The following is a 22,486-nucleotide window of genomic DNA, read 5'->3' on the forward strand; positions in this document are numbered from 1 at the left end:
GCCTCCGGAGTAGCTGGGATTACAGGCCTGGCCACCACACCCAACTAATTTTTTCTTTTTTGAGATGGAGTCTAGCTCTGTCACCCAGGCTGGAGTGCAGTGGTGTGATCTCGGCTCATTGCAACCTCTGCCTCCCGGGTTCAAGCAATTTTCCTGCCTCAGCCTCCCAAGTAGCTGGGACTACAGGTGTGTGCCCCCACGCTCGACTAATTTTTGTATTTTTAGTAGAGACGGGGTTTCACCATGTTGGCCAGACTGGTCTCAAACTCCAGACCTCGTGATCTGCCCGCCTTGGACTCCTAAAGTGCTGGGATTACAGGTGTGAGCCACCGCGCCCGGCTAATTTTTTCTTATTTTGACACAGGGTCTTACTCTGTCGCCCAGGCTACAGTGCAGTGGCGTGATCTCTGCTCACTCCAACCTCTGCCTGCCGGGTTCAAGCACTTCTTCTGCCTCAGCCTCCCAAGTAGCTGGGATTATAGGCATGCACCACCAAGCCCGGCTAATTTTTGTATTTTTAGAAGAGATGGGCTTTTACCATGTTGACCAGGCTGGTCTTGAACTCCTGACCTCAGGTGATCCACCTGCCTCAGCCTCCGAAAGGGCTGGAATTACAGGCGTGAGTCACCGTGCCCGGCCTAATTTTTGTATTTTTAATGGAGACGGAGTTTCGCCATGTTGGCCAGGCTGGTCTCAAACTCCTGACCTTAAGTGATCTACCGCCTCGGCCTCCCAAAGTGTTGGAATTATAAGCATGAGCCACCACACCTGGCCCATGATTCATTTATTTATTTAGTTGTTTTTTCTTTGAGACAGGATCTCGCTTTATTGCCTAGGTTGGAGGACAGTGGTGTGATCACCGCAGCTTCATTCCAAGAAGCTGGGAGTACAGGCTCACGCCACCACATCTGGTTTATTTATTTATTTATTGAGACAGAGTATTGCTTTTATTGCCCAGGCTGGAGTGCAATGGCATAATCTCATCTCATCGCAAACTCCACCTCCCGGGTTCAGGCGGTTCTCCTGCCTTAGCCTCCCAAGTAGCTGGGATTACAGGCATGCGCCACCACACCAGCTAATTTTTGTATTTTTAGTAGAGACGAGGTTTCTCCATGTTGGTCAGGCTGGTCTTGAACTCCTGTCCTCTCAGGTGATCCGCCCACCTCAGCCTCCCAAAGTGCTGGGATTACAGGTGTGAGCCACCGTGCCTAGTCTTATTTATTTATTTATTTGGAGACAGAGTCTCGCTCTGTCGCCCAGGCTGGAGTGCAGTGGCACCATCTTGGCTTACTGCAAGCTCCGCCTCCCGGGTTCACGCCATTCTCCTGCCTCAGCCTCCCAAGTAGCTGGGACTACAGGCGCCCGCCACCACACCCAGCTAATTTTTTTGTATTTTTAGTAGAGACGGGGTTTCACCGTGTTAGCCAGGATGGTCTCAATCTCCTGACCTCGCGATCCGCCGGTTTCAGCCTCCCAAAGTGCTGGGATTATAGGTGTGAGCCACCGCGCCTGGCCTTTTTTTTTTTTTTTTTTTTTAAGTAGAGATGTGCTACTGCACTCCAGCCTGGGTGACTATTGAGACCCTGTCTCAATAAATAAATAAATAAATAAATAAATAAATAAATAAATAAATAAGGCCAGGCGCAGTGGCTCACATCTGTAATCCCAGCACTCTGGGAGGCTGAGGCAGGCAGATCATCTGAGTTCAGGAGTTCGAGACTAGCCTGGACAACATGGTGAAACCCTGTCTCTACTAAAAATATAAAAAATTAGCTGGGTGTGCTGGTGGGCACCTGTAATCCTAGTTACTCAGGAGGCTGAGGCAGAAGAATCGCTTGAACCTAGGAATTGGAGGTTGCAGTGAGCTGAGATTGAGCCACTACGCTCTAGCCTGGGGGACAGAGCGAGACTCCATCTTAAAAATAATAAAAATAAAAATAAAATAAAATGTTTAAATACGTTGGGCACAATGGTTTACACCTGTAATCCCAGCACTTTGGGAGGCTGAGATGGGTGGATCACTTGAGGTCAGGAGTTCGAGACCAGCCTGGCCAACATGGTGAAACCCTGACTCTACTAAAAATACAAAAAATTAGCTGGGTGTGGTGATGGACACCTGTAATCCCAGTTATTTAGGAGGCTGAGCCAGAATAATCGGTTGAACCCAGGAGGCGGAGGTTGCAGTGAGCCGAGATCGAGCCACTGCACTGCAGCCTGGGGAACAGAGAGAGACTCTGTCCTAAAATAATAATAAAATAAAATAAAATGTTTGAATAGGCTGGACACAGTGGCTCATGCTTGTAATTCCAGAACTTTGGGAGGCCCAGATGGGAGGATCCCTTGAGCCCAGGAGTTTGAGACCAGCATGCTCAACATGGGGAGACGCTGTCACTATTATTTTTTATTGGAGACGGAGTCTCCCTCTGTCGCCCAGGCTTGAGTGCAGCAGCCTGATCTCAGCTCACTGCAACCTCTGCCTCCTGCGTTCAAGCAATTATCCTACCTCAGCTTCCCCAGTTGCTAGGATTATAGGCGTGCCCCATCATACCTGGCTAATTTTTTTTGTATTTTTAGTAGAGATGGGGGTTTCACCATGTTAGCCAGGCTGGTCTCGAACTCCTGACCTTAGGTGATCCACCCGCTTGGGCCTTCCAAAGTGTTGGGATAACAGGTGTGAGCCACCGCGCCTGGCCACACTTTTTTTTTTTTTTAATGCTTAAACAGATGAACAGGTCAACTAAATAAGCTAGATGATTTCAGATGCTGTAGTGATCACAGCTATAAAGGGAAGAAATCAGGATGAGGTGACAGATTGTGACACCGGGGCTACTTCAATAGAGGGAAGGTCTCTCAGGAGGTGCTATTTGAGCTGAGACACAAATGTTGAGTGAAAGGGGTAAGAAGTACAAAGGCGGGCCATGGCGCGGTGCGTCACGCCTGTAATCCCAGCACTTTGGGAGGCTGAGGCGGGTGGATCACCAGGTCAAGAGATCGAGACCATCCTGGTCCATATGGTGAAACCCCGTCTCTACTAAAAATACCAAAAATAGCTGGGCGTGGTGGCGCGCGCCTGTAGTCCCAGCTACTCGGCAGGCTGAAGCAGGAGAATTGCTTGAACCCGGGAGGCGGAGGTTGCAGTGAGCCGAGATCGCTCCACTGCACTCCAGCCTGGTGACAGAGTGAGACTCCGTCTCAAAAAAAAAAAAAAAAAAGTACAAAGGCCACCAGGGAAACAAAGCCAGTAGGGTGAGATTTCAAATTCCAAATTCCCCAATTTTTTTTTTTTTTTTTGAGAGGGACTCTCGCTCTGTCGCTCAGGCTGGAGTGCAGTGGCTCGATCTCGGCTCACTGCAAGCTCCGCCTCCCAAGTTCAAACGATTCTCCTGCCTCAGCCTCCCTGGTAACTGGGACTAGGGAGTCACCTGACTAATTTTTTTAGTAGAGACAGGGTTTCACCATGTTGGCTAGGCTGGTCTGGAACTACTGACCTTGTGATCTGCCTGCCTCGGCCTCCCAAAGTGTTGGGATTATAGGCGTGAGTCACCGCGCCCGGCCCCCATCTTTATTTTAAAAAAGCCAAGAAAAGGACAAAAAACCAAACACCGCATGTTCTCACTCATAGGTGGGAATTGAACAATGAGAACACATGGACACAGGAAGGGGAACATCACACTCCGGGGACTGTTGTGGGGTGGGGAAAGGGGGGAGGGATAGCATTAGGAGATATACCTAATGCTAAATGACGAGTTAATGGGTGCAGCACACCAACATGGCACATGTATACATATGTAACTAACCTGCACATTGTGCACATGTACCCTAAAACTTAAAGTATAATAATAATAAAATTAAATTTTAAAAAAAAAGCCAAGAAAGGGCTCTGCGGGAACCAGAGACTTCTTGGGGGCAGAGGTTTTCATCCCACAACGGTTGGGTGGGGGCGCGCCCTCTAGTGGTGACAAGAGTTACGTTTCACCCCGCCAACCGGCAATGTCACATGCTCGTCACTCATTCCTGTCTCTCCCATAGTTATTCATTCAACAAAAAATTACTGAGGACCGATTGTATGCCGAGGAATATTCTAGATGCTGAGGGTAGAGCTGTGAAGCTGATAGTAAAGGTCCCTGCCCCGGAGTTTACCTCCTAGGAGACATTCCCTAGCACAGTCCTGCATACACCCCCACCTCACCTCTGCTCCCCAAAATTGGCCTTCCAACGCTCCAACAGCCAAATATCCCTGCTTAAAGGTCTTGGCATGAGCAGTTCCCTCGCCGTCCTGGAAAGCTAGATCCTGTCTGTTTGCATGGCGGGCTCTGGTCTCAGCTTAAATGTGACCTAAGTCAGAAAGGTGTGATCTCACTTATTTCCTGCCCCTCTCCACACTCCACTAAAATATAATATTCGGGCCGGGCATGGAGGCTCATGCCTGTAATCGCAGCACTTTGTGAGGCCGAGGCGGGCGGATCTCCTGACGTCAGGAGTTCCAGGCTAGCCTGGCCAACATGGCAAAACCCCGTCTCTACTAAAAATACAAAAATTAGCCAGGTGTGGTGGCGGGCGCCTGTAATCCCAGCTACGCAGCAGGCTGAGGCAGGAGAATCGCTTGAACCGGGAGGTGGAGGTTGCAGTGAGCCAAGATCGCGCCATTGCACTCCTCCAGCCTGGGCGACAAGAGCAAAACCCTGTCTCAAAAAAAAAAAAAAAAAAAAAATATATATATATATATATATATATATATATATACACACACACACACATATATATACATATATATGTGTATATATGTGTGTGTGTATATATATATATAAAATATTCAATGAAGGTTATCATTTTCCTGGAATCCCTCAGCGTAGCACGTAATAGTTGCTCAGAAGACACTTGCTGAATAGGTTTGAAGATTCACTGGTTTAAAAAATATCAGGTGGCCGGGCACGGTGGCTCACGCTTGTAATCCCAGCACTCTGGGAGGCCGAGGCGGGCGGATCACAAGGTCAGGAGTTTGAGACCAGCCTGGCCAATATGGTGAAACCCCATCTCTACTAAAAATACAAAAATTAGCAGGGCATGGTGGCGGGAGCCTGTAATCCTAGCTACTCGGGAGGCTGAGGCAGGAGAATTGCTTGAACCCAGTAATAAAAAAATAATAAATCAGGAACCGGTCACCTCAATACGTATCAGATGCTGGTGAACACAGGTGGACAAAGTGGTTAACAGACAGGTTTTGTCCATCTCGTTCACCACCCTACCCAGCCTCAGCACCTAGACCAGTGTTGGCACCCAGTGGGCGCCAAATAAACACTGCTTGAACTCCAGACGTCAGCCGCTCTTTTTCCTACAGACCTTGAGCCACCTTGTTCCAAAGGGGATATGGGCCTCAGGAGGCGCCCAGAGGTGACCTCAGGCGGCCCGACCCAGGAGTCCAAGCTCCAGGAGCAGGGCCACGGGAGCAGCTGCGGAGAGGGGCGGCGCCAGGAGCCGGAGCGGGCAGCCGGGCGCTTCCAGGAAAAGTGGCGGGCGGCGGCGCGCCAGGGACCGTGGGCGGTGCCGTCGGAGCGGGCGGGTCACGTGACGCCCACAACAACGCCCACTTCTTGGTGGGCGGGGCACAGGTGGGCGGGGAGCATGCAAAACAGCCCAGGGCGGCGGCCAATCGCGGCGCGCGCCGGGGGTCCAGGCCCCGGGGATCCGAGGCGCCGCCCGCGCGCAGTCTCTGGTCACTGCCGCCCGGGGGCTTTTGCCAGCGGCGCCGCGGGCCTGCGTGCTGGGGCAGCGGGCACTTCTTCGACCTCGTCCTCCTCGTCCTGTGCGGCCGGCCGGGTGAGGCCGGGCCCGCGTAGGGGGCAGTCGGCGGCTGCCTCCGGCGGAGGTGCCTCGCGGCGCCCGGGCCGGCCCGCGCCTCGGCGGCGTGCTCCATGCATCCGGAGCCCGCCCCGCCCCCGAGCCGCAGCAGTCCCGAGCTTCCCCCAAGCGGCGGCAGCACCACCAGCGGCAGCCGCCGGAGCCGCCGCCGCAGCGGGGACGGGGAGCCCCCGGGGGCCCCGCCCCGCCACCGCCGCCGTCCGCCGTCACCTACCCGGACTGGATCGGCCAGAGTTACTCCGAGGTGATGAGCCTCAACGAGCACTCCATGCAGGCGCTGTCCTGGCGCAAGCTCTACTTGAGCCGCGCCAAGCTTAAAGCCTCCAGCCGGACCTCGGCTCTGCTCTCCGGCTTCGCCATGGTGAGCTCCGGCCGCCCTGCCCTGCCCCCTCTACTGTCCCGGCTGCTCCCGCCCGCAGCCCCGACGGGGCTCTCTGGGCGGGCCGGGCGGGCCAGAGTGAGGGGAAGAGCTGGGAGAAACCGTGGTGAGCGCTGCGCGGGGGGCAGAGGTGCTGGACGTGAGCACTGGTGGGCGCCGAGTACTCCGATCTGGGGTGGTGACAAGCCATATCAGAGTCCGGGCTCGGGGTGCTTGGGTGCCTCCACATGGCCATGCCTGCCCCAGCAAGAGTGGTAGATGCATCCCGAAGTTAGCTCTGTAAGAAGCCCGCCCCATGTGCGTTCAGGAGCGAAAGGAGGGACTCAGAAGCTCTAACCCAGCTGGGGGCGTCAGGAGGTGGGGACAAGGAGAAAGACCTTGCGCTGTCTTGTGCCCCGGCACCCGAGGCCGGAAGTTGTTAGCCGTGTTCTTTTATCAGCTCCTAGAGGGGATTTCCTGACACCCCTTTTCCACCGCATTTTCCGAGAGCCTCAGCCTGGGGGTTTGACAACCAGTCCCCCTCAGTTTTTTCTCCAGAAACTTGCCACTGAGTCACTGCGTGTGAGGGAGGAGGGAGGGACATGTTCCCGTTGAATGGGCTCTTTATTTTTTATTTGTTCCAAGACGGAGTCTCGCTCTGTCGCCCAGGCTGGAGTGCAGTGGTGCAATCTCGGCTCACTGAAATTTCCACCTCCTGAGTTCAAGCGATTCTCATGCCTCAGCCTCCCGAGTAGCTGGGATTACAGGCTCGCGCCACCACGCCCGGCTAATTTTTGTGTTCTTAGTAGAGACGGGGTTTCACCCTGTTGGCCAGGCTGATCTTTAACTCTCGACCTCGTGATCTGCCAAATCTCGGCCTCCCAAAGTGCTGGGATTACAGGCGTGAGCTACCACACCCGGCCCAATGGGCTCTTTCTTGATCTAGGGCATAGGCATGCTTTCCTTTCCCCACCATCCCAAAGAGCTGGAGTGCAAAGCCTCTGAGGTGTGGGGTGGGTGAGGCTGCGGATGGGCCTGAGAAGTGGCTCTGGGGATACCCTCAGGCTTGGCATATTGAAGTTTCTCCGTTGCAGGGGACTACATAATAACTACATTATTACCACTCGGTGATATCAGCCTGCCATGAATGGACTCTGCTCCCCGCCCCTCAGTTCTGTAGACCAGAGCACTCCTGCCCCCGCCACCAGTGAGCTAAGCCCTTGGCCTTGAGGGAGGGAGTGGCTGCACCCTTCGTGTTTTCTTGGGAAGGGAGTGTGTCTGAAACTCTCCCTGCTTTGCCTTGCAGCAGAGCCTGAATTTTTTAAGGCCCAGAGCACGCTGGGCCACAGTGGAAAGGCCGGGAGATGGGGAGTGGGAAGCAGCCTTCCCTGCTCAGTTACTTGCTGCCTGTGTGACCTCAAGCAACTCACTCTCCCTGTCCGGGCCTCAATTCCTGAATTGATCAAAGAAGGCTGCTACTCAAAAGTTTCTCTGACTTTGAGAATAAAATTGAGGGAGCCCCTGAAAGGAGATCAGGGAGTGTGTTTGCATAAACAGACGGCACTCTCATTTTTAGTTTAGACAGGACGGACTTCTGCTCTGTTAATTTCAAATCCTAAGAGACCAGGTTCTGCCTGCTGCCTGAAGAATCTCTAAAAGCAGCTGGCATTTACTGAACACTCACTCAGTGCTAGGTGCCTTAACTCCTGGGCTTACTCAACAACCCTCTGTGGTGATTTTGTCAAAGGGCTCTCCCAAGACCGCACAGCCAGTCTGGTGGAGCGGGATTTGAACCCAGCTCTGCTGGTGTTCAGAACTTGCTCAGGCACTTGTACCCATTGCGGTGTATAGGAACTCTGATTGATGTCCAGCCAGGGATGTGTTAGGACACTAGGAAATGAGAAATAGGGCAAAAGAGTTTCTTTTTTTTTTTTTTTTTTTTTGAGACGGAGTCTTGCTCTGTCACCCAGGCTGGAGTGCAGTGGTGCGATCTTGGCTCACTGCAAGCTCTGACTCCTGGGTTCACGCCATTCTGCTGCCTCAGCCTCTGGAGTAGCTGGGACTACAGGCGCCCACAACCACGCCTGGCTAATTTTTTTTGTATTTTTTTAGTAGAGACGGGGTTTCACCGTGTTAGCGAGGATCGTCTCGATCTCCTGACCTCATGATCCACCCGCCTCGGCCTCCCAAAGTGCTGGGATTAGAGGCGTGAGCCACCGGCGCCCGGCCGCAAAAGAGTTTCTTTTAAGCCAAAGAAAGTTTTATAATTGGTGGTGGGGAGGGAGCTACCAGTTGTCAGCTTTTCCCTGCAGCGCTTGGTATTTAAGATAATGGTTCCCCCTTTTCTTGTGGTCATGAGTTTATAGCTGCCCCAGGCTCCTTCTCACTCCTGAGGGGTGAGATCCAGATGAATGACACTTTCCTGCCTTCTCAAGTCCCTTCTTCCTTTCGAAGACAGGCCTCATGGTCAAATGTCACCTCCTTCTCTTGCTAAAAACAGTGTGGGGAAGTCAGGAGACTGGGGCAGCCAGTGGCATGGAGTGGGCCTTGGCCCACCCAGTCTGTCTCTTGGGGACTTTTATTTTCCCCCACCTGGGTGGAGAAGGCTTCCTGGCACTACTGATGGAATCCCCAAAGTTCTGCAGGCAGGGAAGGACCGAACCCCATGATACTCTCCATTCTGCAGTTACAAGAAGGTAACTGCATGTGCCATGAAGTTGGAAATCTATAGGAGGGATGGGATTGGGTGCAGGGTCTGACCATGCCCCACTCCCACTTAGACACCCAGCCTGTAAGTGAGCTTGGGAGAGGAGAGGGTGCCAGCAGCCCCAACGCCATGGTAACAGAGTGACAAGTTTCCTGGATTACTCTCCCTTGGCTTATGAGTCAGCACAACCAACTTCCTGCCCCCAGAGGGCTTCCTTCCCAGAGACCTGGAAAGTCAGAGGAGCTGACTTGACCTTTGATTGCCAAGGGATGGGGTCAACCAGGTGAGATTGAGGGAGGGTCTCCCACAAATCCTGGAGGGGATTGAGAGGTTCCCCACTTCATGGGTAGAACAGCCTGGCCAGGTGGCCGGGAAGTGTTGGGGATGGCTGGTGGGTGACCTCAGGCAAGAGGCTTTACTTCTTTGAAGCCAGTTTTCTTTTCTTTTCTTTTCTTTTTTTTTGAGACGGAGTTTCCTCTTTGTTGCCCAGGCTGGAGTGCAGTAGCACAATCTCAGCTCACTGCAACCTCCACCTCCCAGGTTCAAGCGATTCTCCTGCCTCAGCCTCCCGAATAGCTGGGATTACAGGCACACACCACCTCACCTGGCTAATTTTTGTATTTTTAGTAGAGACGGGGTTTCACCATGTTGGCCAGGGTGGTCTCAAACTCCTGATCTCAGGTGATCCACCCGCCTCGGCCTCCCAAAGTGCTGGGATTACAGGTGTGAGCCACCATGCCTGGCTGAAGCCAGTTTTTTAATGTGTATGGAGATGGCAGGTATCCTGCTCTCCCATGGACTCATATGAAGGTTCATTATGAGGCCAGACTGGGCCCATGAAACACAGGAATTTTCAGGGTCTGATGATGCACACCTTGCCCGGACCCTCTCTGATCTGCAGATGAGATTCTTGCTCCACACGGCAGTTCTAGGAACAGCAGGCCTCAGGCGCACCATCCTCCAAACTCTAATGAGAGATACAAAGCAAGGGGGCCTGGATATAGCATAGGATCAGCATCCCGTAGAGCTCCTTAAGCCCAGAGTACTCTTGTGGGCTTTGATTCAGGTCCTCTGTGCCTCAGTTTATACTTCATTGAGAGGCAGCCAGCCTCAGCCTGACCCCGTCCCCTGCAGGACTGGCGAGCATATGTGGTGATCTTGTCTGCTGGGGAAGGCAGGCTGTAACATTAGCCTGAGCTGAAGATAATTGGGAAGGTCAGTCTGCTGCCGTAAACAAAATGCTTTCCATGACCTGGGATCAATTATTTTTGGATTATCTGCCTCCTCAGTTCTCTGCCCGCCAGCACCCTTTTGTTCCCAAGTTCTAGAGCTGGTTCAGAAGTTTCCTGTAATTTCTATGAAAATGAGTTGGAAGGAACGACTCAAGTCATAAGACACTGAGCCTCTGTGACGTGTTCAGAGTTCAGGGACCATGTAAATGAGCAAGAAATTGCTATTACTATTCCTAGTACTGATCACTGATAGTAATTATTATTGCTGTTGTTGATTGGGCTCTTGCAATAGGCTAGATGGTGCCCCACGTAGCATCTTGTGTGATCCTCCTATAAACCAGGTGAGTATAGGTGATGGTCATTGAGAGGAAAGACTTGCGCATGGTCACCTGGCTGGGAAGCTGCAGAGCCCTGTGGCTGTGGTGTAGCGCCATTGCTGTGGGAGAGAAAGCATCAGAGAGTGTAGGGGAACAGAGCTGAGAAGCTCAAGCAGGGTAAGGTCAGAACAGACACTTGAGCAAGACAACTTGGTTCAAATCCCAGCTCTACCTCTTATAAGGGCAAGACCTTAGGCAAGTCATTTAACCTTTCTGGGCCTCAGTTTCTTCATCTTTAAAATGGAGTACGGCCGGGCGCATTGGCTCACGCTTGTAATCCCAGCACTTTGGGAGGCCGAAGTGGGCGAATCACCTGAGGTCAGGAGTTCAAGACCAGCCTGGCCAACATGGTGAAACCCCATCTCTACTAAAAATACAAAAATTAGCCGGGTGTAGTTGTGCATACCTGTAATTCCAGCTACTCGGGAGGCTGAGGCAGAAGAATTGCTTGAACCTGGGAGGCGGAGGTTGCAATGAGCAGAGGTTGCACCACTGCACTCCAGCCTGGGCAACAGAGTGAGACTCCATCTCAAAAAAAAAAAAAAAAAAAATTTTTGCAGAGCACTTACAGTATCTGACCCGAGTATCCCAGAAACTTGCTTACCCTTTTTTCCATTGTGTTAGGGCTGCTAAGGGTTAACTGAGAAGAATCTGGTTCTTGCCGAGCCTTGAGTGTGGTGGAGTTAGGACTTGAGAAAGCCTTCAAGTCAAAGGAAATGGCAGGAACAGTTAAAGAAGAGAAATTACAGGGCCTAGGGGAAAGGTACAGGGGCTGTGGTTGGGGTTGAGGGTCTTCAGGAAGTAGTAGAGAACGGTGAATTTAGCCAGGCAAGATGATGGAGGGCCTTGATTGGGTGGGAAATTTGAACTCTTGGATAGGCAACAGGGAGCCATTGAAGGTTTTAGACAGGAGTTACATGATGAATTCTATGATGACGGTGGTGGTGGTTGTGATTACTGTTTACTGAAACCCTGTTGTGCCAGGCATGAGCCTGAACGCTTTTCTTTCATTCTTACTGAATCCTCACCATAGCTCTTAAAAGTATGTACTGTAAACAGGAAAACTAAGGCTCCTAGAAGTTAAGATTCTCCAGCTAGTAGAATTCCAGCTCTGGTCTTTCTGGCTGGGAGCCAGTTGAAGAGAAAGTCTGGGTCTGTGTCCCGCTGACCCTGTATGCAAATTCAGCCTATTCATGGCTTGTAACAAATTTACTAAGTTGCAACCAACACATTTTGTTGTTTCTTTCTTTTGATAACTTTGGTACCAAGCTCCTGGTCCTTTTTAGAATGAGATAAGGGTGAAATGAAACAAAGTCGCAGCACGCATTGCATCTTGCAAGACCTTACTGATGTGCTGTAAGGCTAAATGTTGATTGGTTAAACTTTTGTTTCTGTTATAAACGCGTGTGTGTCTATTTATAGAAACATTTGGAGTCCTGGACTGTCATGGTCAAGACTTTGTAAACCACTGCACACTAGGCCTCAATACCCTCTTAAGAGATGGTTTGCATTTGAGGTGGGGCCGGCAGGCTCAGACAGCTCCGGGTGACCCTGCATGGTTGCGGCCTAGAGGGCCTCATGTTCCAGGCTGCAGCCACCCACCCTCCTAAAAGGGTGGACAAGAAAAGAACTAGGCCAGGGGAAGGAAGGCTGTGGGACCTGAGGTCAGGCCCAGCATGGGAGGGCTGCCTCAGAGGGCCTGGACTTGCAGGCGCCAGGTGCCCAGGGTCTCCATGGAGCCCAGCAGGAGCCAGGAGAGATAGCTGGCAATCAGGCGAGGTGGGCTGACGGCTGGTATGGTCCGTCAGGGCCAGCCAGGCCTTGCCCTTCGCAGAATTATGTAACCCTCTTCTTGGCCCTTGCTAAGGTTTGGCATCTCTAGCCAAAACCCTATTGGGGGGATCCATGGACCAGTGTGAGGTGGAGCTGGTGGTCTTTTGCCTTTCCTATCCCTTATAGGGCTTGCCTCGCCAGGTTCAGGCGGCCAGTGGCTGGCGGGGGGCTGTTTATTTTGGGCTGACGGGCTATATTTACCTTGTGAAGCTGCGTGCGATCTGATCTGATCCAATCTTGCTGGGGCTCAGCTGGGGCTCTGGCAGTCAGCTGCCAGATCTGTAGGGCCCCTGGCCCTCCCCCTGCCACCCAAGGGGAGATTTCCAGAGCAGGAAGTATCCTGGAAAAAGTGGTGGCATTTATTCCTGTGACTTTTTCATCAAGCTCCATGACACATGCCAACCGTTCCTTTCTTCTCACTTTTTTTTTTCCCAGTTGCAAGATTTTATTAAAATTTTTTTTGTTTGTTTCTTAGAACTTTATTTATTTATTTATTTATTTATTTATTTATTTATTGATCATTCTTGGGTGTTTCTCGCAGAGGGGGATTTGGCAGGGTCATGGGACAATAGTGGAGGGAAGGTCAGCAGATAAACAAGTGAACAAAGGTCTCTGGTTTTCCTAGGCAGAGGACCCTGCGGCCTTCCGCAGTGTTTGTGTCCCTGGGTACTTGAGATTAGGGAGTGGTGATGACTCTTAACGAGCATGCTGCCTTCAAGCATCTGTTTAACAAAGCACATCTTGCACCGCCCTTAATCCGTTTAACCCTGAGTGGACACAGCACATGTTTCAGAGAGCACAGGGTTGGGGGTAAGGTCACAGATCAACAGGATCCCAAGGCAGAAGAATTTTTCTTAGTACAGAACAAAATGAAAAGTCTCCCACGTCTACCTCTTTCTACACAGACACGGCAATCATCCGATTTCTCAATCTTTTCCCCACCTTTCCCGCCTTTCTATTCCACAAAACCGCCATTGTCATCATGGCCCGTTCTCAATGAGCTGTTGGGTACACCTCCCAGACGGGGTGGTGGCCGGGCAGAGGGGCTCCTCACTTCCCAGTAGGGGCGGCCAGGCAGAGGCGCCCCGCACCTCCCGGACGGGGCGGCTGGCCGGGCAGAGGCTGCAATCTCGGCACTTTGGGAGGCCAAGGCAGGCGGCTGGGAGGTGGATGTTGTAGCGAGCCGAGATCACGCCACTGCACTCCAGCCTGGGCACCATTGAGCACTGAGTGAAGGAGACTCCGTCTGCAATCCCGGCACCTCGGGAGGCCGAGGCTGGCGGATCACTCGCGGTTAGGAGCTGGAGACCAGCCCGGCCAACACAGCGAAACCCCGTCTCCACCCAAAAGATACGAAAACCAGTCAGGCGTGGCGGCGCACGCCTGCAATCGCAGGCACTCGGCAGGCTGAGGCAGGAGAATCAGGCAGGGAGGCTGCAGTGAGCTGAGATGGCAGCAGTACAGTCCAGCTTCGGCTCGGCATCAGAGGGAGACTGTGGAAAGAGAGGGAGAGGGAGACTGTGGGGAGAGGGAGGGGGAGGGAGAGGGAGAGGGAGAGGGCCTTTCTTCTCACTTTGAATCATTCTTTTACACGGCCCCCTGAACCCTGTGGCATTGAACTTGGTTCCAAGTGTGGGCACATACAGCCTGCCTAAGTGGACGGAGTTCCAGGAATCGTAGGGTCTGGTGAGGGTAATGGGCTTTCTTCCGGAGCAGGGCAGCAGGCCCTTTCCTCTTCCTCGGAGAGCCCAGCCTCTCCCCTCTCCCCAGCCCAAAACCTCAGGGCTGGCGAGTGTGGGTGTCCCCGGGCCGTGTGCGTCCCAACAGCTGCACTGCTTTCTGGCCCTGGAGCCTGTGGGTGTGACAAATGGTGTGGAATGTGGTGGTCTCTGTCCTGTGGAGGTGGCCATCAGGCCAGGTGTGGCGTGGGGTACACATCCTTGTGGCCGAGGTTTGGAGCTGGAGCTGCCTCTAAATATAGCAAGCGAGGCCCCGAGTCGGGGTTGGAAGGTGGGTATGTGGGGTCCCTGTCTCCAGTCTGAGCTGAGGGTATCCAGGCACTATTTCTCTTCCATCCACTTCAAGCTCTGTTTTTCTCCTTTTTTCTTTTCTTTTCTTTTTTTTAGAGATAGAGTCCTGCTCTGTTGCCCAGGTTGTAGTGCAGTGATGGGATCATAGCTCACTGCAGCCTTGAACTCCTGGGCTCAAGGGATCCTCCTGCCTTAGCCTCTCAAGTAGCTGGGACTGGCCAGGTGCGGTGGCTCACACCTGTAATCCCAGCACTTTGTGAGGCTGAGGTGGGGAGATCATCTGAGGTCGGGAGTTCAAGACCAGCCTGAGCAACAAGGTGAAACCCCGTCTCTACTAAAAATACAAAAGTTAGCTGGGCATAGTGGCGGGCGCCTGTAATCCCAGCTACTCAGGAGGCTGAGGCAGGAGAATCGCTTGAACCCGGGAGGGGGAGGTTGCAGTGAGCCAAATTGTGCCAGCGCACTCCAGCCTGGGTGACAGAGTGAGACTCCATCTCAAAAAACAAAAAGTAGCTGGGGCTACAGTCATGCCCACTATATCCAGCTAATTTTTTTTTCTTTGTGTGTGTGTGTGTGTCTGTGTGTGTGTGTGAGATAGGGTCTCACTTTGTTGCCCAGGCTGGGGTGCAGTAGCGCAATCACGGCTCATTGTAGCCTCAACCTCCTGGGCTCAAGGGATTCTCTCACCTCAGCCTTCTGAGTAGCTAGGACTACAGGTATACTCACTACACCCAGCTAATTTTTTGATTTTGTAGAGATGAGGTCTCACTGTGTTGCCCAGGGAGATCTCGAATTCCTGGACTCAAGTGATCCTCCTACATCAGCTCCCTAAATTGCTGGATTACAGGTGTGTGCCTGCTTTATGTGTTTTTCTTTCTTTCTTTCTTTCTTTTTTTTTTTTTTTTTTTTTTTAGACAGAGTTTCGCTCTTGTTGCCCTGGCTGGAGTGCAATGGCGCGATCTTGGTTCACTGCAACCTCCACCTCCTGGGTTCAAGCGATTCTCCTGCCTCAGCCTCCTGAGCAGCTGGGACTATAGGCACGCATTACCACGCCCAGCTAATTTTTGTATTTTTAGTAGAGACGGGGTTTCACCATATTGGCCAGGCTGGTCTCGAGCTCTTGACCTCGTGATCCACCCACCTCGGCCTCCCAAAGTGCTGGGATTGCATACGTGAGCCACCGCGCCCGGCCCTGTGTTTTTCTTTTTAACCAAGATTTATTGAGCTGCTGTAGCTGGCCCTATGCTAAACATCTACATATGAAAACTACATTTAATCTCAGCCACCATGTGAGGGAGGTGCTCCTTTGCCCCCTTCATACCCGGGCTGTGGAGCCAAGTGGACTTGGTTTTGAATCCAGCAGCAGAGTAACCCTTTGGACAGCTGACATCACCTTTCTGAGCCTCAGTTTCCTCGTTTGTAAAAGAAGAATAATGGTATTAGTAACTCGTGGGATTCTCTTTTTTTTTTTTTTTTTTGAGACAGACCATGCTCTGTCACCAAGACTGGAGTGTAGTGGCACTATCTTGGCTCACTGCAACCTCTGCCTCCCGGGTTCAAGCGATTCTCCTGCCTCAGCCTCCCAATTAGCTGGGATTACAGGTGCCCACCACCACACCCCAGCTAATTTTTTTTTTTTTTTTGAGATGGAGTCTCACTCTGTTGCCCACACCGGAGTATAGTGGCATGATTTCGGTTCACTGCAACCTCCATGTCCAGGTTCAAGCGATTCTCATGGCTCAGCCTCCCAATTTTCTGGGATTACAGGTGTGTGCCACCACACTCAGCTAATTTTTTTGTATTTTAAGTAGAGGCAGGGTGTCACCATGTTGGCCCGGCTGATCTTGAACTCCTAACCTCAAGTTATCTGCCTGCTTCGGCCTCCCAAAGTGCTGGGATTACAGGCATGAGCCACCACACCTGGCCCACCCCTGACTAATTTTTGTATTTTTAGTAGAGACAGGGTTTCACCATGTTGGCCAGGCTGGTCTTGAACTCCTGGCCTCAAGTGATCCACCCTCCTCAGCTTCCCAGTGTGCTGGGATTACAGGCATGAGCCACTGCCCCTGTCAGCCTCTATTTTATAGGTGTGGAAGCTGTGGCACAGAGAGGTTGAGATCCTTATCCAAGGTCAACAGCTTTGTAAGTGGAGGAGCCAGTTTGCAGCCAGCTGTGTGGTTTGTTCTGTGGTCCTGACTGCATAGAGGGGGAGAGACACTACCTCGGGGGTGGCTGGGGCACAGGCGAGGCACCAAGTAGGGAGCAGAATGGGACTGCAGACCTGTATACAGGCCCCCCATACACACCCCAGCGGCCAGCTCAGGGCCTGAGCCACCTAAAGGCTCCAGACGTTTCCAGTGAGTGGATCAGTAGCAGTGGACCTGGGGCAGCTCAGCAACAGCCGCTGCTGCTTGTCCTGTCTTGGGTTTCAGGTTCCGGGGTGGCAGGCCAGAGCAGGAAGAGGAAGTGCTGGGGGTGGGGAGGTGGCAGGAGACACTGGCTGCTGGAGGGGGCTCCCCTCTTCCAGGTGTGGGCAGGCCTGGGGGCAGAGACAAGGGAGCTGCAGGATGTGGCCCTCCATCTGCCGTGCCCTGGTGACCTACCCCACGTCTTGTGTCCAGCACCCACATGTGCTGAGATACCCTCACCCGCATGGACTCAGAATTCTCAGGGCTGGCTTTCGGCCACCAAAGATCTTAAACACGGTAGAAATCCTGATGGCATTGCCCCAAATTTATATGAGCTTGAAATGTTTTGTAAACGCCTGGACTGAGAAGTACATACTGCCATCCACTGTGGGCATTCTTAGACAAAAGCCTGTGAATCCTGTTGAAATTGTCAGAAAAGTCCTGTGAATAAATGATACTTGGCTGTTTTAAGGAGAGTGTCCACCATCTTCAGATTCTCAGAGATGTCCGACCCCAAGTCAGATCCAGATTGTGACCTTCATCTCGCTGCAGCCCCTTTTTTTATGGGTGTTGAGGAGGGTCTTGGCCAAGGTTACCGGTAAACAGGCAGTTAAGGAGCTGGAACATGGGTTTGCCAGTTTGGCCTGGCGTTCTTTATGCCTGAGTGTGCCCCTCTGGAGGATGTTGTAAAGAGACTGTGGGGTGGGGATGAGGTTCCTAAACTGAGTAATAATGAAGCTCACTTTTATTGAGGGTTTGTTGTGTGCCGGACACTACCTGTTTTACATGGATTGACTCTCTTAATCCTCAGAAGAAGCCTTCGAGGCTTGTCCCATTATTCCCATTTTACAGATGTGAAAACAGAGGCACAGAAAGTTGAAAGCTTGCCAGAGTCATACAGCCCAATCAAGGGCAGGGGAGTCAGGGTTCAAGCCAGGCAGACTGTAAAAGGAGAGCGGTGGGGAAGGAAGGAGTCCACACCCCTACCTAGGGCAGGAGGGGTGAGGACAGGAATTCCCTGCCTGCTGGGGGCCAGGCTAGTGTGCGGCTAATGGAGAAACTTCAACATTAGGCTTGCCGCTCTGAGCCTGCCACATATATAGCAAACACCTTATAAAGAGTCACTGTCCTTGATGGAATGACTGCCATAGGTATCCGCCATCTCCCTACCCCTGTCCCTCCAGCCCTCATGGGTTGACCATGGTTGTGTGCCCACTGCCCGCTGCTCCTGGCCCAGATCTGATAAGCTGGCTCCTTTGCATGGGGGTGACTTGCAAGGCCCAGGTGAGGAGCAGCGGGTGTCTGGCCCGGAGCATGCCCCTGGTGACCTCGGGTCCACAGGTCTCCAGGAACTGGGGGCAGCTGGTGTGTCAGCCCTGGGGCTGGGGAGGAGACAGCCCCAGGGTGTACTGGCCACCCAGCCTGCACCAGGGCTGGGCCCGTCGCTTCTGGGAAGCCTGCTCTGTATGTCAGGTCGTGCGCTGTGTTCTCAGAAGGGCCTGAGTGTGCCCTGGGAGGGCAGCCACCACCCCTCTGCATGTCCCCAGAGCAGGGCATGAAGGAGAAGCCTCTGCTTGGGTGTGAGGATGTGGGGCCAGCAGGCATGATGGCTGGCGATTGCTTTTTTTAATGCTTTTATTTTAACCATAGTAAAATACGCATAACAAAATTTACCATTTTGACCACTGATGGTGGTGGTTGGTACTAATTTTAATTTTATTATTATTATTATTATTATTATTATTATTATTATTATTATTATTGAGTTAGAGTCTCACTCTATTGCCCAGGCTGGAGTGCAGTGGCACGATCTCAGCTCACTGCAACCTCCGCCACCCGGGTTCAAGTGATTCTCCTGCCTCAGCCTCCCAAGTAGCTGGGATTACAGGCACGTGCCACCACGCCCAGCTAATTTTTGTATTTTCAGTAGAGATGGGGTTTCACCATGTTGGCCAGGCTGGTCTCCAACTCCTGACCTCAGGTGATCCACCCGCCTCAATTTCCCAAAGTGCTGGGATTACAGGCATGAGCCACTGGGCCCGGCCTGATTTTATTTTTTTTAGAGACAAGGTCTTGCTCTGGTGCCCAGACTGGAGGGCCATGGGGCAGTCATAGCTCACCACCACCTCAAACTCCTGGGCTCCAGCGATCCTTCCCCACCAGACTCCCAAGTAGCTAGAACTACAGGTGTGCACCACCACCCCCCAGCTAATTAAACAAATTTTTTTTATAGAGGTGGGGTTTCTCTGTGTTGCCTGGCTGCTCTCGAACTCCTGGCCTCAAGCAGTCCTCCCACCGCAGCCTCCACAAGTATTGAGATTACAGGCGTGAGCCACTGTGCCTGTCCTGCGGCTGGTTTCTAATACCTGGCTAGGTGGTAATAGCAGTGTTTTGGGAGGTGGTTACCATGTGCCAGCTCTCATTTAATTGTTAAAATAATTCTATGAATTGGCTGGGTGTGGTGGCTCACACATGTAATCCCAACACTTTGGGAGGCTGAGGCAGGCAGGTGGGTCACCTGAGGTTGGGAGTTCGAGACCAGCCTGGCCGACATGGTGAAACCCCGTCTCTACCAAAAGTACAAAAAAGTAGCAAGGTGTGGTGGCGCATGCCTGTAATCCCAGGTACTCGGGAGGCTGAGGCAGGAGGATCACTTGAACCCGGGAGTGGAGGTTGCAGTCAGCCGAGATCGCATCACTGGGCTCCAGCCTGGGCAAAAGAGCACGACTCTGTTTGGAGAAAAAAAAAAAAAAAATCCTATGAACTACTATTATATCCCTATTTTACGGATAAGAAAGTCGAGGCTCAGGCCGGGCGCGGTGGCTCACACCTGTAATCCCAGCACTTTGGGAGGCTGAGGCGGGCGGATCACGAGGTCAGAAGATCGAGACCATCCTGGCTAACACGGTGAAACCCCGTCTGCTAAAAATACAAAAAATTAGCCGGGCGTGGTGGCAGGCGCCTGTAGTCCCGGCTACTTGGGAGGCTGAGGCAGGAGAATGGCGTGAACCCGGGAGGTGGAGCTTGCAGTGAGCCGAGATCGCGACACTGCACTCCAGCCTAGCTTGGGCAACAGAGTGAGACTCCCTCTCAAAAAAAAAGAAAAGAAAAGAAAATCGAGGCTCAGAGAGGTTAAGTGACTTTCCCAGGGTTGCACAGTTAGTGAGTGCCAGGGCTGGGATTCAGATCCAGGCAGCCTTGGCTCTTGCTTTCTGTAGGGCTTTCTGCCACTCTCATCCACAAGTGGATAGGCCTTACTATCCCCATTGTAGACATATGAAAACTGAGGCTCGGAGAGGCCAAGCGACTGGCCAGGGTCCCAGAGCCTGACAGGAGGAGAGCTAGGACTGAAGAGTAGTAGTGTGGGCTGGGACCGCTGGCACTCATCCTGCCTGTCCCCCCGCAGGTGGCAATGGTGGAGGTGCAGCTGGACGCTGACCACGACTACCCACCGGGGCTGCTCATCGCCTTCAGTGCCTGCACCACAGTGCTGGTGGCTGTGCACCTGTTTGCGCTCATGATCAGCACCTGCATCCTGCCCAACATCGAGGCGGTGAGCAACGTGCACAATCTCAACTCGGTCAAGGAGTCCCCCCATGAGCGCATGCACCGCCACATCGAGCTGGCCTGGGCCTTCTCCACCGTCATCGGCACGCTGCTCTTCCTAGCTGAGGTGGTGCTGCTCTGCTGGGTCAAGTTCTTGCCCCTCAAGAAGCAGCCAGGCCAGCCAAGGCCCACCAGCAAGCCCCCCGCCAGTGGCGCAGCAGCCAACGTCAGCACCAGCGGCATCACCCCGGGCCAGGCAGCTGCCATCGCCTCGACCACCATCATGGTGCCCTTCGGCCTGATCTTTATCGTCTTCGCCGTCCACTTCTACCGCTCACTGGTTAGCCATAAGACTGACCGACAGTTCCAGGAGCTCAACGAGCTGGCGGAGTTTGCCCGCTTACAGGACCAGCTGGACCACAGAGGGGACCACCCCCTGACGCCCGGCAGCCACTATGCCTAGGCCCATGTGGTCTGGGCCCTTCCAGTGCTTTGGCCTTACGCCCTTCCCCTTGACCTTGTCCTGCCCCAGCCTCACGGACAGCCTGCGCAGGGGGCTGGGCTTCAGCAAGGGGCAGAGCATGGAGGGAAGAGGATTTTTATAAGAGAAATTTCTGCACTTTGAAACTGTCCTCTAAGAGAATAAGCATTTCCTGTTCTTCCAGCTCCAGGTCCACCTCCTGTTGGGAGGCGGTGGGGGGCCAAAGTGGGGCCACACACTCGCTGTGTCCCCTCTCCTCCCCTGTGCCAGTGCCACCTGGGTGCCTCCTCCTGTCCTGTCCGTCTCAACCTCCCTCCCGTCCAGCATTGAGTGTGTACATGTGTGTGTGACACATAAATATACTCATAAGGACACCTCCTTCCCGTGTCTTGTATTTGTTGGGCCTGGGCTACTGCTCACCCTGGTTAGGTGAGCCTCTAGGAAAACTTAAAACAAATTTTAAGCCAGGTATGGTGGCACATACCTGTGGTCTCAGCTATTCAGGAGGCCAAGGCAGGAGGATCTCTTGAGCCCAGGAGTTTGAGACCCCATCTCAAACAAAAAATACAAAAATTAGCCAGCCACGGCGCCTGCACTTCCAGCTCCTTTGAGAGACTGAGGCAGGAAGATTGCCTAAGCCCAGGAGGCCAAGTCTGCAGTGAGCTATGGTAACACCACTGCACTCCAACCTGGGCAACAGAGGGAGACTCTGTCTCTAAAAAAATAGAAAAATTTGCCCTGCATGGTGGCTCACGCCTGTAATCCTAGCCCTTTGGAAGGCCAAGGCGGGCAGATCACTTGAGGTCGGGAGTTCGAGACCAGCCTGACCAACATGGAGAAACCCCATCTGTACTAAAAATACAAAATTAGCTGGGTTTGGTGGCGCATGCTTGTAATCCCAGCTACTCGGGAGGCTGAGGCAGGAGAATCGCTTGAACCCAGGAGGCGGAGGTTGCAGTGAGCTGAGATCGCGCCATTGCACTCCAGCCTGGGCAACAACAGTGAAACTCCGTCTCAAAAAAAAAAGAAAAAAAAATTCAACATTTTATTTTGAGAAATTTCAAACCTACAAAAAGTTGCAGGAATAGTGTCTATCTGAAATACATATTCAGTCTTTTCTTTAGAAGTCTTTTTTTTTTTTTTTTTTTTAAATAGAGCCTCACTCTGTCACCCAGGCTGGAGTGCAGTGGCGCGATCTGTAAAATCACTGTGAGCACTGACTTAGCACATACTGGACCGTTGCTCCTAGGAGAAATACAGGGTTGCGTTCCTGTGAGCTTTGGTCGTGATATTTTCATCAGCTGATCAATATGTAATCTTGTTTTATGTGTATTTCTGTTTAAAGATTCATATATATATGTGTATATATATATATGGTTGAGTTGTTACCGTTGAACTCACAGCCCACAGGACTAGAACACATGCCTAAATAAAGTTTATCTAACATACTTGTTTTCTCCATATGTATATCCATCATAACCTTCTTGCACTGAGGAATATTAGATAATATATATATGTATTTATGTATTATACATATATATATATATTTTTTTTTTTGAGACAGAGTTTTGCTCTTGTTGCCCAGGCTGGAGTGCAAGGGCACGATCTCTGCTCACTGCAACCTCCACCTTCTGGTTTCTTTCTTTTGTTTGAAA

At 52.3% G+C, this 22,486-nt stretch overlaps 1 pseudogene across 1 annotated transcript, besides 8 other annotated features; it reads left to right on the forward strand.

Moving 5' to 3' along the window:
- Positions 4,041 to 4,541: an enhancer, noted in NCBI's record as "H3K4me1 hESC enhancer chr12:122062776-122063276 (GRCh37/hg19 assembly coordinates)". NCBI's record gives its function as "activates a minimal SCP1, AML or CMV promoter by ChIP-STARR-seq in primed H9 embryonic stem cells {active_cell/tissue: H9 hESC(primed)}" and the evidence as "EXISTENCE:reporter gene assay evidence [ECO:0000049][PMID:30033119]".
- Positions 5,580 to 6,469: a silencer, noted in NCBI's record as "silent region_4981". NCBI's record gives its function as "represses an Ori minimal core promoter by ATAC-STARR-seq in GM12878 lymphoblastoid cells {active_cell/tissue: GM12878}" and the evidence as "EXISTENCE:reporter gene assay evidence [ECO:0000049][PMID:35858748]".
- Positions 5,700 to 22,279, forward strand: ORAI1 (ORAI calcium release-activated calcium modulator 1; annotated as a pseudogene). Its single transcript, NR_186857.1, has 2 exons — positions 5,700 to 6,220; positions 20,211 to 22,279. The product of NR_186857.1 is annotated as an ORAI calcium release-activated calcium modulator 1, transcript variant 1, non-coding (transcript).
- Positions 7,600 to 7,659: an enhancer, noted in NCBI's record as "active region_7176". NCBI's record gives its function as "activates an Ori minimal core promoter by ATAC-STARR-seq in GM12878 lymphoblastoid cells {active_cell/tissue: GM12878}" and the evidence as "EXISTENCE:reporter gene assay evidence [ECO:0000049][PMID:35858748]".
- Positions 11,729 to 12,609: an enhancer, noted in NCBI's record as "H3K27ac-H3K4me1 hESC enhancer chr12:122070465-122071345 (GRCh37/hg19 assembly coordinates)". NCBI's record gives its function as "activates a minimal SCP1, AML or CMV promoter by ChIP-STARR-seq in naive H9 embryonic stem cells {active_cell/tissue: H9 hESC(naive)}" and the evidence as "EXISTENCE:reporter gene assay evidence [ECO:0000049][PMID:30033119]".
- Positions 16,873 to 16,942: an enhancer, noted in NCBI's record as "active region_7177". NCBI's record gives its function as "activates an Ori minimal core promoter by ATAC-STARR-seq in GM12878 lymphoblastoid cells {active_cell/tissue: GM12878}" and the evidence as "EXISTENCE:reporter gene assay evidence [ECO:0000049][PMID:35858748]".
- Positions 17,003 to 17,092: an enhancer, noted in NCBI's record as "active region_7178". NCBI's record gives its function as "activates an Ori minimal core promoter by ATAC-STARR-seq in GM12878 lymphoblastoid cells {active_cell/tissue: GM12878}" and the evidence as "EXISTENCE:reporter gene assay evidence [ECO:0000049][PMID:35858748]".
- Positions 17,617 to 18,134: an enhancer, noted in NCBI's record as "H3K4me1 hESC enhancer chr12:122076353-122076870 (GRCh37/hg19 assembly coordinates)". NCBI's record gives its function as "activates a minimal SCP1, AML or CMV promoter by ChIP-STARR-seq in primed H9 embryonic stem cells {active_cell/tissue: H9 hESC(primed)}" and the evidence as "EXISTENCE:reporter gene assay evidence [ECO:0000049][PMID:30033119]".
- Positions 18,135 to 18,652: an enhancer, noted in NCBI's record as "H3K4me1 hESC enhancer chr12:122076871-122077388 (GRCh37/hg19 assembly coordinates)". NCBI's record gives its function as "activates a minimal SCP1, AML or CMV promoter by ChIP-STARR-seq in primed H9 embryonic stem cells {active_cell/tissue: H9 hESC(primed)}" and the evidence as "EXISTENCE:reporter gene assay evidence [ECO:0000049][PMID:30033119]".

Source organism: Homo sapiens, chromosome 12 (genome assembly GCF_000001405.40).
Source record: "Homo sapiens chromosome 12, GRCh38.p14 Primary Assembly".
NCBI classification, from domain to species: domain Eukaryota; kingdom Metazoa; phylum Chordata; class Mammalia; order Primates; family Hominidae; genus Homo; species Homo sapiens.